The 15254-nt window shown below is 34.6% G+C and overlaps 1 long non-coding RNA gene across 1 annotated transcript in view, besides 1 other annotated feature; it reads right to left on the bottom strand.

Moving 5' to 3' along the window:
* Positions 1-15254, bottom strand: part of LOC105371953 (uncharacterized) — a 155413-nt gene that overhangs the window by 40459 nt on the left and 99700 nt on the right. The gene's annotated exons all lie outside the window — the stretch shown is intronic.
* Positions 4919-5642: an enhancer, noted in NCBI's record as "OCT4-NANOG hESC enhancer chr18:1208318-1209041 (GRCh37/hg19 assembly coordinates)". NCBI's record gives its function as "activates a minimal SCP1, AML or CMV promoter by ChIP-STARR-seq in naive H9 embryonic stem cells {active_cell/tissue: H9 hESC(naive)}" and the evidence as "EXISTENCE:reporter gene assay evidence [ECO:0000049][PMID:30033119]".

Raw genomic sequence — 15254 nt, 5'->3', positions numbered from 1 at the left:
CAAAAACTTAGAGGAAATAGATAAATTGCTTGATACCTACAACCTACCAAGATTGAACTGAGAAGAAAGAAAACTTGAGAAGACCAATAACAAGTAATGATACTAAATCAGTAATAAAAAGTCTCCCAATAAGGAAAACTCCAGAACTGGATGGCTTCACTGCTGAATTCTACCAAATATTTAAAGAAGAATTAATACAAATTCTTCTTAAACTAGTCCAAAAAAATGAGGAAAAGGATAAAGCTTTAGAGTTTATTCTGATGGGTGAATTGAGGTGGAATTGGAGGCTTCAAAAATTTTTAATTGACTTATAATAATTATATGTATTTATGAGTTACACAGTGATGTTTTGATACATACAATGTATAGTGATCAGACCAGGGTAATTAACATACCATCGTCTCAAACACTTATCATTGCTTTCCTGATACTTACTATAATTTCCTAATTCATTCTATGAGGCCAGCATAACCTTATAACAAAACCAGAAAAGAAAACTACAAGCCAATATTACTGATAAATATAGACAAGATATCCTCAACAAAATGCTAGCAAACCAAATCCAACAACACATCAAAAGGATAACACATTATGATCAAGTAGAATTTAGCTCAGGAATGCAAGGATGGTTCAACATATGCAAATCAATAATGGTGATGCATCACATCAAACAGAATGAAGGATAAAAACCATATGATTATCTCAATAGATGCAGAAAAGGGATTTGATCAAATTCAACATCGCTTTATGATAAAAAATATCTCAATAAATTAGGCATAAAAGGAAAGTAACTCAAAACAATAAAGACCATATATGACAAACCCACAGCTAAAATCATACTGAATAAAAAAAAAACTGGAAGTTTTTCCTCTAAGAGCCAGAACAAGACAAAAATGCCCACTCTCACCACTCTTATTTAATATAGTATGGGAAGTCCTAGCCAGAGCAATTAGGCAAGAGAAGGAAATAAATGGCATCCAAATTGTAAAAAAGAAAGTCAAATTGTTCCTATATGCAGATGACAGGATCTTATAAATATATAAACCTAAACACCCTACCAACATACTCTTAGAATGAATAAGTGAATTCCATAAAGTTGTAGGATACAAAATCAACATACAAAATCAGTAGCATTTCTACACATGAACAATGAACTAGCTGAAAAAGAAATTTAAAAGGCAATGCTATTAACAATAAATATAAAATACCTAGGAACAAATTTAACTAAGGAGGTAAAGGACCACTAGAAGGAAAATTATAAAACATTGAAGAGCATATAAATAAATGGAAAGATATACTATGCTTATGGATCAGAAGAAGTAATATTTAAACGACCATACTACCCAAAGCATTCTACAGGTTTAGTATAATCCCTGTCAAAATACCAATGACATTTTTCACAGAAATAGGAAAAATCCTGAAATTCATATGGAACTGCAAAAGATGCCAAATAACCAAAACAATGCTGAGCAAAAAGAACAAATCTGGAGGCCCTACCAAACTCAAAATATACTACAAATCTATAGTAACCAAAAAAGCATGATACTGGCACAAAAACAGAGACATAGACCAATGGAACAGAATAGAGATCTCAGAAATAATTTGCTTATCCACTAAGGCACTGATTTTGGGGAAAAGCGCCAAGAACACTCATTGGGGAAAGGAATGTCTCTTCAATAAATGGTTCTAGGAAATGTAAATATCCATATGCAGAAGAATGAAACTATACTCCCACCTCTCAAATTACACAAAAATGAACTCAAAATGCATCAGAGATCTAAATGTAAGAACCAAAACAATTAAACTACTAGAAGAAAACATAGGGGAAATATTTCAGGACAGTAGTCTGGGAAAAAGATTTTATAAATAAGACCTCAAATGCACAGAGAACAAAAGCAAAATTAAACAAATGAGATTATATCAAATCTTATGCACAGCAAAGGAAACAATAAACAGAGTGAAATAACAACTTAAAAATGGAATAAAATATTTGCAAACTATTCATCTGACAGGGGATTAATATCCAGAATATAAATGGAATTCATACATCTAAACAGCAAAACAAAAAAGTTGATTAAAATATTGACAAATGATCTGCATAGAGATTTCTCAAAAGAAGACATACAAATGGCCAGAAATTTATGAAAAAATGTTCAACATTATTTATCATAAGGGAAATGCAAATCATCCACAATGAGATATCATATCACCCCAGTCAGGATAAATAACAGATGCTGATGAGGATGCAGAGAAAAGGAAACTCTTATACACTCTTGGTGGGAATGTAAACTAGTATGGATACTATGGATATAATATGAAGGTACCTTAAAAAACTACAAACAGAATACCTATATGATTCAGCAATTCCACTACTGGGCATTCATCCAAAGGAAAGAAAATCAGTATATCAAAGACACATCTGCACCCCCATGTTTATTGCAGCACTAGTTACAATAACCAAGATACAGAATCAACCTAGGTGTTCAATAACAGATGAATGGACCAGAAAATGTGGTCCATATACACAAGGAAATACTATTAAGCAATGAGAAAGGAAATCACAGGATTTTGAAATTGGAGACTTTGGGATTTGGAAATGAGAGGTTATCATATTATTTATAAAAAGTTCGGTGGAATAATGAGAAACAGGCTGGTTAGAGTGGATTCAAGAAAGAATGGAATGAAAATAAATAGAGAAAATGATAATAGGCAATGCTTTGGAAGCATTTTACTATAAAGGCGACAGAAAATGTTAATAGGATAGAGGAAGGCATGTTTGTTCATTTTGTTTAAAGTGTCTATTTTTAAGATGGGATTATATTTTTTATAAGAAGCAATAATTTCCAGAGCTAGGTTCTTGAGTAGGTGAAATGGAATAAAATTCAGTAATCCAAGTGAAGGGGTTTGCTGTAGAAGCTAGGAGAGCACATCCATTGTAACAAGAGGAAAGGCAGAGTATATGAGCAAAGATGCAATTAGGTTAGTAGATGTGATGATTGGAGCACATCATTGGCTCTTAGATACCAGAAAATAGATTTGAAAATATGTTTTCTAGCTTTTCTAGTTGTTCACAAAAAGAGGATTTTCCTAAAATACGCTGTCTACCATTGCTATAAGCTTGTCTTCCATGTACGTACTTTAAAGTATGTAAGGCAGTTAACAATTATGGGGTTGAAATTGGGTGATGTGAGCCTGGTAACTCTAGATTTTGAGAAGATTTTCTTTACAGGTTATCTGCCAATTCCCAAAGACATGGCTACAGGGTTAAACAATGAATAGAACTCCTGGCTACCTCATGGGACTAGGGGGGGAAATGGAGCAAGAGCTCTATTGACTGGTCCCCTGCCTAATCCCCTTTTGTGTAAGGACTCTGAAGCCTTTTGGGTTTCATGGAAGCTGAGTGAAACCTGAGATTGCCCGCTTTCCCCTACTTCCCTGACAACCTGCATGACACAGTAGAGGCAGTCATAATCCTCCTAAGAACATAACTCCATTTACCTGGGAACCACAACCCCATCCCCCCCAGCAGCCGCAGCAAGACCCACCCAAGAAGAGTCTGAGCTCAGACAGGCCTAGCCCTGCCACCACCTGATGGTCCACCCCTACCCACCCTGATAGCTGAAGATAAAGGGCATACACTTTCGGGAGTTCTAGGGCCCCACACATCACCTGATCCTCCCCATATGAGCACAGCTGATGCTGTCTTGAATGTGCCACCTCCTGGAAGGAGACCAATCAGCATAAAAATAGAGCATTAAACAACCAAAACTAAGGACCCTAACAGAGTCTAGTTTACCCCCCTGCAATCTCCACTGTAGCAGGTACTGGTATCCACAGCTGAGAGATCCACAGATGGTTCACATCACGGGACTCTGTGCAGACAACCCCCAGTACCATCCTGGAGCCTGGTAGATCTGCTGGGTGGCTAGATCTGGAAGACAGATAACAATCACTACAGCTCAGCTCTTAGGAAGCCACATCCCTAGGAAAGCAGGGAGAGTACTACATCAAGGGAACACTCCATGAGACAAAAGAATCTGAACGACAGTCTTGAGCGCTAGACCTTCCCTCTGACAGAGCTTACCTAAATGAGAAGGAATTAGAAAATCAACTCTGGCAATATGACAAAATGAGGTTCTTTAACACCCGCAAAAAAATCACAGCAGCTCACCAGCAATGGATCAAAACCAAGAAGAAATCCCTGGCTTACCTGAAAAAGAATTCAGAAGGTCAGTTATTAAGCTAATCAAGGAGGCACCAGAGAAAGGCAAAGCCCAATGTAAGGAAATTTAAAAAATGATACAAGACATGAGGGGAGAAATCTTCAGTGAAACAGATAACATCAACAAAAAACAATCAAAACTTCGGGAAACAATGGATGCACTTAGAGAAATGCAAAATGCTCCAGAAAATCTCAGCAATAGAATCCAACAAGCAGAAGAAAGAACTTCAGCGCTCAACGACAAGGTTTCATAATTAACTCAATCCAACAAAAACAAAGAAAAAAGAATAAGAAATGAACAAACTCTCCAAGAAGCCTGGGATTATGTTAAATGACCAAGCATAAGAATAATCAGCATTCCCTGAGGAAGAAGAGAAATCTAAAAGTTTGGAAAACTTATCTGGGGGAATAATCAAGGAAAACTTCTCCAGCCTTGCTAGAGACCTAGACATCCAAATACAAGAAACACAAAGAACACTGGGAAATTCATCACAAAAAGATCATTGACTAAGCACATTGTCATCAGGTTATCTAAAGTTAAGATGAAGAAAAGAATCTTGAGAGATGTGAGGCAAAAGCACCAGGTAACCTACAAAGGAAAACCTATCAGATTCACAGCAGATTTCTCAACAGAAACCCTACAAGCTAGAAGTGATTGGGGCCCTATATTTGCCTCCTTTAAAAAAACAATTATCAGCCAAGAATTTTGTATCCAGCAAAACTAAACTTCATAAATGAAGGAAAGATACAATCTTCCTTTGGACAAATCTTTGTTCAGACAAATAAACGCTGAGAGAATTCACCACTACCAAGCTAGCACTACATGAACTGCTAAAAGGAACTCTAAATCTTGAAACAAATCCTGGAAACACAGGAAAACAGAACCCCTTTAAAGCGTAAATCTCACAGGGCCTATAAAACAAATACACACACACACAAAAAGCCAAGGTATACAGGCAACAATTAGCACAATGAATGGAACAGTACCTCGCATCTCAATACTAACGTTGAATGTAAATGGCCTTAATGCTCCACTTAAAAGATACAGAATTGCAGAATGGGTAAGAATTCACCAACTAACTATTTGCTACCTTCAAGAGACTCAACTAACCCATAAAGACTCACATAAACTTAAGGTAAAGGCGTGGAAAAGACATTCCATGCAATGGACACCAAAAGCAAGCAGGAGTAGCTATCTTTATATCAGACAAAACAAACTTTAAAGCAACAGCCATTAAAAAGACAAAGAAGGACATTACATAATGATAAAAGGCCTTGTCCAACAGGAAAATATCACAGTCTTAAATATGTATGCACCTAACACTGGAGCTCCCAAATTTATAAAACAATTACTAATAGACCTAAGAAATGACATAGATGGCAACACAATAGTAGTGGGGGACTTCAGTACTCCACTGACAGTACTAGACAGGTCATCAAAACAGAAAGTCAACAAAGAAACAATGGATTTAAACTATACCCTGGAACAAATGGACTTAACAGATATTTACAGAACATTCTACCCAACAACCACAGAATATACATTCTATTCATCAGCTCATGGAACTTTCTCTAAGTTAGACCATATGATAGGCCACAAAACAAGCCTCAAAGAATTTAAGAAAAGTGAAATTATATCAAGCACTCTCTCAGCCCACAGTGGAATAAAACTGGAAATCAAATCCAAAAGGAACCTTCAAAACCATGCAAATACATGGAAACTAAATAACCTGCTCCTGAATGATCATTGGGTCAACAATAAAATCAAGACAGAAATTTTAAAAATGTTTTAAACTGAATGACAATAGTAACACAACCTATCAAAACCTAAACACCTACATCAAAAAGTCTGAAAGAGCACAAACAGACAATCTAAGGTCACACCTCAAGGAAGTAGAGAAACAAGGACAAACCAAACCCAAACCCAGGAGAAGAAAGGAAATAACCCAGATCAAAGCACAACTAAATGAAATTGAAACAAAAAATACAAAAGAAAAATGAAACAAAAAGCTGGTTCTTTGAAAAGATAAATAAAATCGATAGACCATTGCCAAGATTAACCAAGAACAAAAGACAGAAAATCCAAATACGCTCAATTCGAAATGAAACAGGAGATATTACAACTGACACCACAGAGATACAAAAGATCATTCAAGGCTACTGCGAACACCTTTGCACGTATAAACTAGAAAATCTAGAGGAGATGGATAAATTCCTGGAAAGATACAACAGTCATAGCTTAAATCGGGAAGAATTAGATACACTGAACAGACCAATAACAAGCAGTGAGATTGAGATGGTAATAAAAAATAACCAACAAAAAAAAAGTCCAGGACCAGATGGATTCAGAGCAGAATTCTACCAGACATTCAAAGAAGAATTGGTACAAATCCTACTGACACTATTCCAAAAGAGAGAGAAAGGGACTCCTCCCTAAATCATTCTTTGAAGCCAGTATCTCCCTAATGCCAAAACCAGGAAAGGATAGCCAAAAAACAAAACTACAGACCAATGTCCTTGATGAAAATAGATGTAAAAATCCTTAACAAAATACTAGCTAACCGTGTCCAACAACAAATCAAAAAGATAATGCACCATAATCAAGTGGGTTTCATACCAAGGATGCAGGGATGATTTATCATATATAAGTCAATAAATGTGATATACCACACAGACATAATTAAAAACAAAAATCACATGATTATCTCAATAAATGCAGAAAAAGCATTTGAAAAAATCCAGCACCGCTTTACGATTAAAATTCTCAGCAAAATCAGAACACAAGGGACATACCTCGATGTAATAAAAGCCATCTATGACAAACCCACAGCCAACATAATACTGAATGGGGAAAAGTTGAAAGCATTCCGTCTGAGAACTGGAACAAGACAAAGATGCCCACTCTCACCACTTTTAGTCACCCTAGTACTGGAAGTCCTAGCTAGAGCAATCAGACAAGAGAAAGAAATAATGGGCATCCAAATTGTTAAAGAGGAAGTCAAACCGTTGCTGTTTGCTGATGACATGATTGTATACCTAGAAAACCCTGAAGATTTCACCAAAAAGCTCCTAGATCTGATAAAAGAATTCAGCAGTTTCTGGATACAAAATTAATGTATACAAATCAGTAGCTCTCTTATATACCAAGAGCAACGAAGCAGAGAATCAAATCAAGAACTCAACCCCTTTTACAGAAGCTGCAAAAACAATAAAATACTTAGAAATATACATAACTAAGGAGGCAAAAGACCTCTACAAGGAAAAGTACAGAGCACAGCTGAAAGAAATCATAGATAACACAAACAAGTGGAAACACATTCCATGCTCATGGATGGGTAGAATCAATATTGTGAAAATAACCATACTCCCAAAAGCAATCTACAAATTCAATGCAATTACCATCATAATACCAACATCATTCTTCACAGAACTAGAAAAAAAAAATCCTAAAATTCATATGGAACCAAAAACAGCCCACATAACCAAAGTAAGACTAAACGAAAAGAAGAAATCTGGAGGCATCACATTACCTGATTTCAAACTATACTATAAGGCCATAGTCACCAAAACTGCATGGCACTGGTATAAAAATAGGCACATAGACCCATGGAACAGAATAGAAACCCCAGAAATAAAGCCAGATATGTAGAGCCAACTTCTCTTTGATGAAGCAAACAAAAACATAAAGTGGGGGAAGGACCTTTTCAACAAATGGTGCTGGGATAATTGGCAAGCCACATGTAGGAGAATGAAACTGGATCCTTATCTCTCACCTTATACAAAAATCAATTCAAGATATATCAAGAACTTAAATCTGAAACTATAAAAATTCTAGAAGATAACTTTGGAAAAACCCTTCTAGACATTGGCTTGGGCAAGGATTTCATGACCAAGAACCCAAAAGCAAATGCAATACAAACAAATCTAAATTGCTGGGATTTAATTACACTAAAGAGTTTCTGCACAGGAAAAGGAAAAGTCAACACAGTAATCAGACAACCCACAGAGTGGGACAAAATCTTCACAATCTATACATCTGACAAAAGACTAATATCCAGAATCTACAATGAACTCAAACGAATTAGCAAGAAAAAAAAACAAACAATTCCATCAAAAAGTGGGCTAAGGACATGAATAGACAATTCTCAAAAGAAGATATACAAATGTCCAACAAATATATGGAAAAATGCTCAACATCACTAATGATTAGGGAAATGCAAACCAAAACCACCATGTGATACCACCTTACTCCTGCAAAAATGGCCATAATCAAAAAATCAAAAAACAGTAGATGTTGGTGTGGATGCAGTGAACAGGGAACACTTCTACACTGCTGATGGAAATGTAAACTAGTGCAACCATTATGGAAAACATTGTGGAGATGTCTTAAAGAACTAAAAGTAGAACTACCATTTGATCCAGCAACACCACTACCGGGTATCTACCCAGAGGAATAGAAGTCATTATACAAAAAAGATACTTGCACATGCATGTTTACAGCACCACAATTCACAATTGCAAAAGGGTGAAACCAACCCAAAGCTCATCGATCAATGAGTGGATAAAGAAACTGTGGTATATATATATATATATATATATATATATATATATATATATATATATATATATATGATGGAATACTACTCAGCCATGAAAAGAATGAATTAATGGCATTCACAGCAACCTGGATACAAACTGGAGACTAATATTCTAACTGAAGTAATTCAGGAGTGGAAAACCAAATATTGCATGTTCTCATGCATAAGTGGGAGCTAAGCTATGAGGATGCAATGGCATAAGAATGACACGATGGACTTTGGGACTTAGGGGGCAAGGGTGGGAAGGGGGTGAGTGGTAGAAGACTACATATTGAGTGCAGTGTACACCCCTTGGGTGATGGGTGCACCAAAACCTCATGTAATCACCACTAAAGAACTTATTCATGTAACCAATTCATGTAACACCACCTGTTTCCCCAATAACCTGTGGAAATTTTTAAAAAAAATTAAAAGTAAAATAAATTGTAGGAAACTGGGAATAAAAATAAGAAAAAGAAAAAGTTCAGAGATTATGCAGGTAACCATGTAACCAGACACAGACTTTAAAACAATCATGACAAATATATTTATTAAAATATATAACAGTTTAAGAACTCTTGCAGAGGACTGCAAATAGTAAGATAAAAGCAAAATTCTATAACTATAAAAATCATTATTTGAAATTCAGAATTAAATCAATGAGATTAACAACAGATTCACTGGAGAGAGAATTACCGAACTAAATGATAGGTCAAAAGAAATAAAGAAATTATCAGTCTGAAGCACAGAGAGGCCAAAGAATGAAATATACAAAAAAAAAAAAAAAGCTGTAACAGCATAAGAAATATAGTGAATAGAACCTCAGAAAGAATTTAGGTTATATTTGAAAAATTGATGGTTGGAAATTTTCTAAATATGAGCAAGAGCAGAAAACTACATAAAGAAGCCCTACAAACTCTGGCAGAGTAAATTAAAAGAAAGCTACACATATAGATATAATAATAAAACCTCAAAAAAATGAAAAAGAGAAAAAAATGTTAAAAGCAGCCAAATGGAAAAGGACATATTACCTCTAAAGGACAACAACAGAACTGACATCTGCTTTCTCAAAACCAACAATGAAAGCCAGTTGACTCCTTGAATTTCTGAGAGAAAGTAACTGCTGAGTTCAAATTTTACACCCAATTAAAATAAAGTTCAAAAATGGATGGTGACATAAATATATTTTGGACAAAGAAAAACAGAGAAGCTGTCAACATCAGACACTCCTGCAAGATTCTTGGAAGACTGATATAGGTAGGTACATATAAGCTAAAATTGACCATATAACCAAACGCTATATCTTTTAACACTTTAAATATATATATAGAATTAAAATAAACCACAATAAATAGAAAGAAAGAGTAAATGAAGGAATTCTAAGGCTTCTACATTATTTGGGAAGAGATAGAAGTATCAATATATATATTAGACTTCAATGAGTCAAAGATGCATTTTATAACCCTAAAGATCACAGGTAAAAGATTAGTATAACTTCTACGACAATGAATAAAGGATAGTAACAATTGCTACAGGAAGGGTAAGAAAAGGAAAATAATTATTTAGATATAACTAATTGAAAGCAAAAAGTAAGATAATAGATTTAAAATGTAATGTAATTAATATAATTGAATATAAATTAAAGGACAGATATTGTCATAAAGAATAATAAAACCAAGTCTAATGATATACTGATTAGAAGAGATACTGAAAATATCAGCATATTAGAAAGATTGAAAGTAAAACCACGGAAAAGGAATAGCATGCAAATATTATCCAAATAAAGTTAGTTTAGTTATATTCATACCAGACCAAATGTACTTAAAGGCAAAAAACACTACTAATAACTTATAATTCTGTAAAATAAGAAAAACACTACTAATAATTTATAACTCTGTAAAAATAAGAAAAAGAAAAAGTTCACAGATTATACAGGTAACTATGTAACCAGACACAGACTTTAAAAAATCATGACAAATATATTTATTAAAATAGAGAACAATTTAAGAACTCTTGCAGAGGACTGCAAATAGTAAAGATAAAAACGAAATTCTATAACTATAAAAATCATTATTTGAAATTCAGAATTAAATCGATGAGATTAACAGCAGATTCACTGGAGAGAGAATTACCAAACTAAATGACAGGTTAAAAGAAATAAAGAAATTATCAGTCTGAAGCATAGAGAGACCAGAGCAAAAGAGATAACTGCAGAAACATCAACAAAATGAAAAATGGTGAACTAAAAGGTTTAGTTCACCAGAAAGAGACAGATATTCTAAATTTGAATGTATTTAATAACATAATCTCATGATATATAAAACAAAGAAATACAGGAAAAACAAATCTGTAATCAGAGTGGGATATTTTAATAAGCCTCTCTCAGTACCAGATAGAACAAACAGTTTACAAATCAGTAAAGTTATAGATTATTTGAACAAAACAATTTAGAAAAATTGACATTATAAAACACTGATACTGACAACCATAGTATGCATAGAAAATTTACCAAAATTGCCCATAAGCTGGGTCATAACGTCTCAACAAATTTCAAAGGATTAAAAACAGAAGAAAGATTCTGTGGTCATTGTGGAATTAGGCTGGAAGCCAATCACATAGAGATAACTAGAAACTCACCATATGTCTGGAAATTTAAAAATAGTTCACTTATAAATAATTCATGGATCTGGGATGAAATCATAATGGTTATTAGAAAATATGTTGAACTAAATTATAATAAAAATAAACATCAGTCGGGCACCATGGCTCATGCCTGTAATCCCAGCACTTCAAAAGGCCGAAGCGGGCAGATAACCGAGGTCAGGAGTTCGAGACAAGCCTGACCAACATCGTGAAATCCTGTCTCTACTAAAAATACACAAATTAGCCAGGCGTGGTGGCACATGCCTGTAATCCCAGCTACTCAGGAGGCTAAGGCAGCAGAATCACTTGCACCCAGGAGGCAGAGGCTGCAGTGAACTGAGAGCTTGCCACTACACTCCAGCCTGGGCAAAACAGCAAGACTCCATCTCAAAAAATAAAAATAAATACATAAATATACAAACATCAAACCTTGTGGATGAAACAGAGCAATGATTACAAGGACAATTATTAGAAAAAAAGCAAGACTACAAATCAATGATCTAACAGTCTACCTCAATAACAACAGAGAAAGATTGGAAGATAATGATAGCTGTCTGAATCCAACTCTCCTCTCATGTCCTCTCCCCAGAACATAAGATCAATGGGTGCAAATAAAACCTCACAAGGGTCACACTTTTGGCGTTAACCAGGAGGCAGAGACTACCATGAACTTTGTATTTCCTGTACCTAGAGAAATGAACAAGTTCCAACAGAGCTTGCATTATTGCTACAAACCCATGGATGTGTGAAGTGAGGAAAGCAGACCTAGGGGTCTGAAAGTAAAAGAGGAGAGAGAGACAGAGGACACGGATAAGGCATAAACAAAATCACCCTTACAATGAGAAAGTCCAACACTAAGGATGAAAAACTCAACAGAGATCTGGGACTTAGTAATTCACAACACCAACTATAGGGAAGGAGCTTGGAAGTGACCAAAGGTGACAGACTTAGAGAAACATTGCATGTGGGGAAATTAGATAAGTACATAAAGTATGGCAGAAGGGGGAAGAAGGAAAGAAGAGGGGGAAATTAAGACAATATTGTCCACATGCGCCCCTCTGGAGGAAGGTAATGAATGTATCCTCCAGCCTAGAGATAACTGCGGAAACATCAACAAAATGAAAACTAGTGAGCATTTACTATATTTAATTGTAGAGCTAAGATTAAAACAAAAAGTGAGGGCACGTTTGGAAAAATAATGTGTAGATATTATATGTTCTGATGAAGTAGAAAAAATGCAACTAAAAGACTAGGAAGTAAATGCAGAGAGAAAGGGGAAAATAGACCACTCTTGACTGCTGTGTAGGTAGCAGGTGGGAGTCAAAGGATACCATTTAAATTGGCTTCCCAGATAGTAAAATGTTAAGTAAGAAAAGAAGGGGCTTAAGAGCATAACAAAAGGTATACACATAAAGATAGCCAACAGAATAAAAATACAAACCTTCCTACTACCAGAAAATTTAAAAAATAATAATAAACACACCAAAGAGAGAAACACAGCATAATATACATAGCACACATAAAGTATGATGATATGATCCAGTTGAGACCAAGTACATCCATTATATCAATAAAGATGAAAGTGCTTCGCTTGTCTATTAAAATAAAAACATTTTAAATTTGGCTTATGAAGGAAAAGCCAACATTAGCCTGTATACAAGAAATATGGCCAAAACATGGCATTAAAAAGCTGAAACTAAAGGCGTGCACAAAGACACAACAGATAAAACAAAAACACAATCAGAGGGAAATAATAAAAAAGCAGATGTTCTGACTCTTATATCAGATAAAGGAGAATTCTGGGCAATAAAAATTAAATGAGACATTGGACACCTTCTAATACTAAAAGCTGTAATTCATTATGAAGAGGTAAGTTACAAATATCTGTGTGCCAAAAAGCACAGCAAGTCTTATAAAAAGTGAAAAGTAAAAATAAAGCTTTCAACTCAAAAACCTAGAAATAAAACAAAAGACACCCCAAAAAAGCACAAGGAGGCAAATACTAATGATAAAAAAAAAAGCAATTAATAAGGTACAGAATTGAAAAGCATATCAAACCAATAAGCCAAAATTCTGGGTCCTTGGAAAAATTAACAAACAAATTACTATTAATAGTAAATTTGTTCAAGAAAAAAAGGAGAAAAATATGAAATAATAAACAACAAGTGGAAATGATGATTAACACAGAGAAAAAAAAATTTTTTTTTTAGAGACGAAGTCGCCCTCTGTTGCCCAGGCTGGAGTGCAGTGGTGTGATCTCAGCTCACTGCAACCTCCGCCTCCCGGGTTCAAGCGATTCTCTTCCTTCAGCCTCCTGTATTAGGCGCAGCTAATTCCTGTATTTTTAGTAGAGACGGGGTTTCACCATGTTGGTCAGGCTGGTCTTGAACTGACCTCGTGATCCGCCCGCCTCAGCCTCCCGAAGTGCTGGGATTACAGGTGTGAGCCACCGTGACCGGCCAGAAAAAATTTTTTAAATCACAAGATGCTACTCTGTACACCTTTATGCAAACAAAATTGAAAACTTAGATAAAATGAATATTTTCTTAGAAAGAGACAGTTTACCAAAACTGATCTCTGTAAAAATAGAAAGCTTAAATAGACTCACTTGTGCAGAAGAAATAGAGGAGTTATCAAGGAACTACAATGTAAAAAAAAAAAACAAAAAAAAAAACCCCGAAAAAACAGCAGGGCCAGATGGTTTTGCAGAATAATTTTAAAAACTTTAGAGACCAATTAGTGTCAATGCTATATAAATTACTCAGAGAAAATTTTTTAAAGTATACAGTATTTTTACAAAACAAGTATAACATCCATGACTCAATTTTGTTAAATGTAACACAAAAAAGAAGCTAATAGATAAATATTACTTATAATTATTAATGAAAAACTCCTAAATAAAATATAAACTGAGAAACTTGGATACTTCATTAAGAAAATAATACACTATGACTGAGTGGAATTTATACTAACAATGTAAGAATGGCTAATATTAGGAAATCTAGTGATATAATTTGCCATTTTAATTGGTGGAGAAAGAAACATCATATAATTTTATCATGGATGCTAGAAAAGCCTTTGACAAAATCAACCCTCATTCCTAATAAAAATTTCCAGAAAATAAGAATAGATGTATTCTTCCTCAATGTGATTACAGACTACACACACACATACACGCACTCCATGCTAAATCCATCACTGTAATAAGAAATTGAAAAGTGCCATTAAACTGAGAACATAAGTCACAGGGAGAAAATATTTGCAATATATAGGTCTGAAAAGATTAGATCCAAGATATAATGACCTCTTACAATTCAATATTAAAAAGAAAAACAGTTCAATAAGAAAATTGGGAAAAAAGATTTGACCAAATACTATAGAAAAACCATATAAAAACATTTCTTGTTATTTCACATAAGAGGTGCTAAGCATCACTGGTCACAGAAAAATGCAGATTGAAAGCCACAATAAGATACTCTACATACCCATTAGAATGGCTAAAATTTAAAAAACTACCAGCAAATGTTGGTAAGAATGTCAAACAGCAGACACACTATACACTACTGCTAAGAGTGTGAAACACTACCACCATTTAGGAAATAGTTCGGTATTTTCTAATAAGTGAACATACTCTTACCTAATATGACACAATGATTTCATTCCCAGATATTTACTGGAGAAATAAAAACACACGTCCATGCAAACACCTGTTCATAACATTTCATTCATAGTAGTTCCAAAATGGAAGCAGCTTAGGTGTTCATTAGGAAAATGGATGGACAAATTGTGGTATATTTGTACAATAGAATGCT

Source organism: Homo sapiens, chromosome 18 (genome assembly GCF_000001405.40).
Source record: "Homo sapiens chromosome 18, GRCh38.p14 Primary Assembly".
NCBI classification, from domain to species: domain Eukaryota; kingdom Metazoa; phylum Chordata; class Mammalia; order Primates; family Hominidae; genus Homo; species Homo sapiens.
This window is presented reverse-complemented; position numbering and strand designations above follow the sequence as displayed.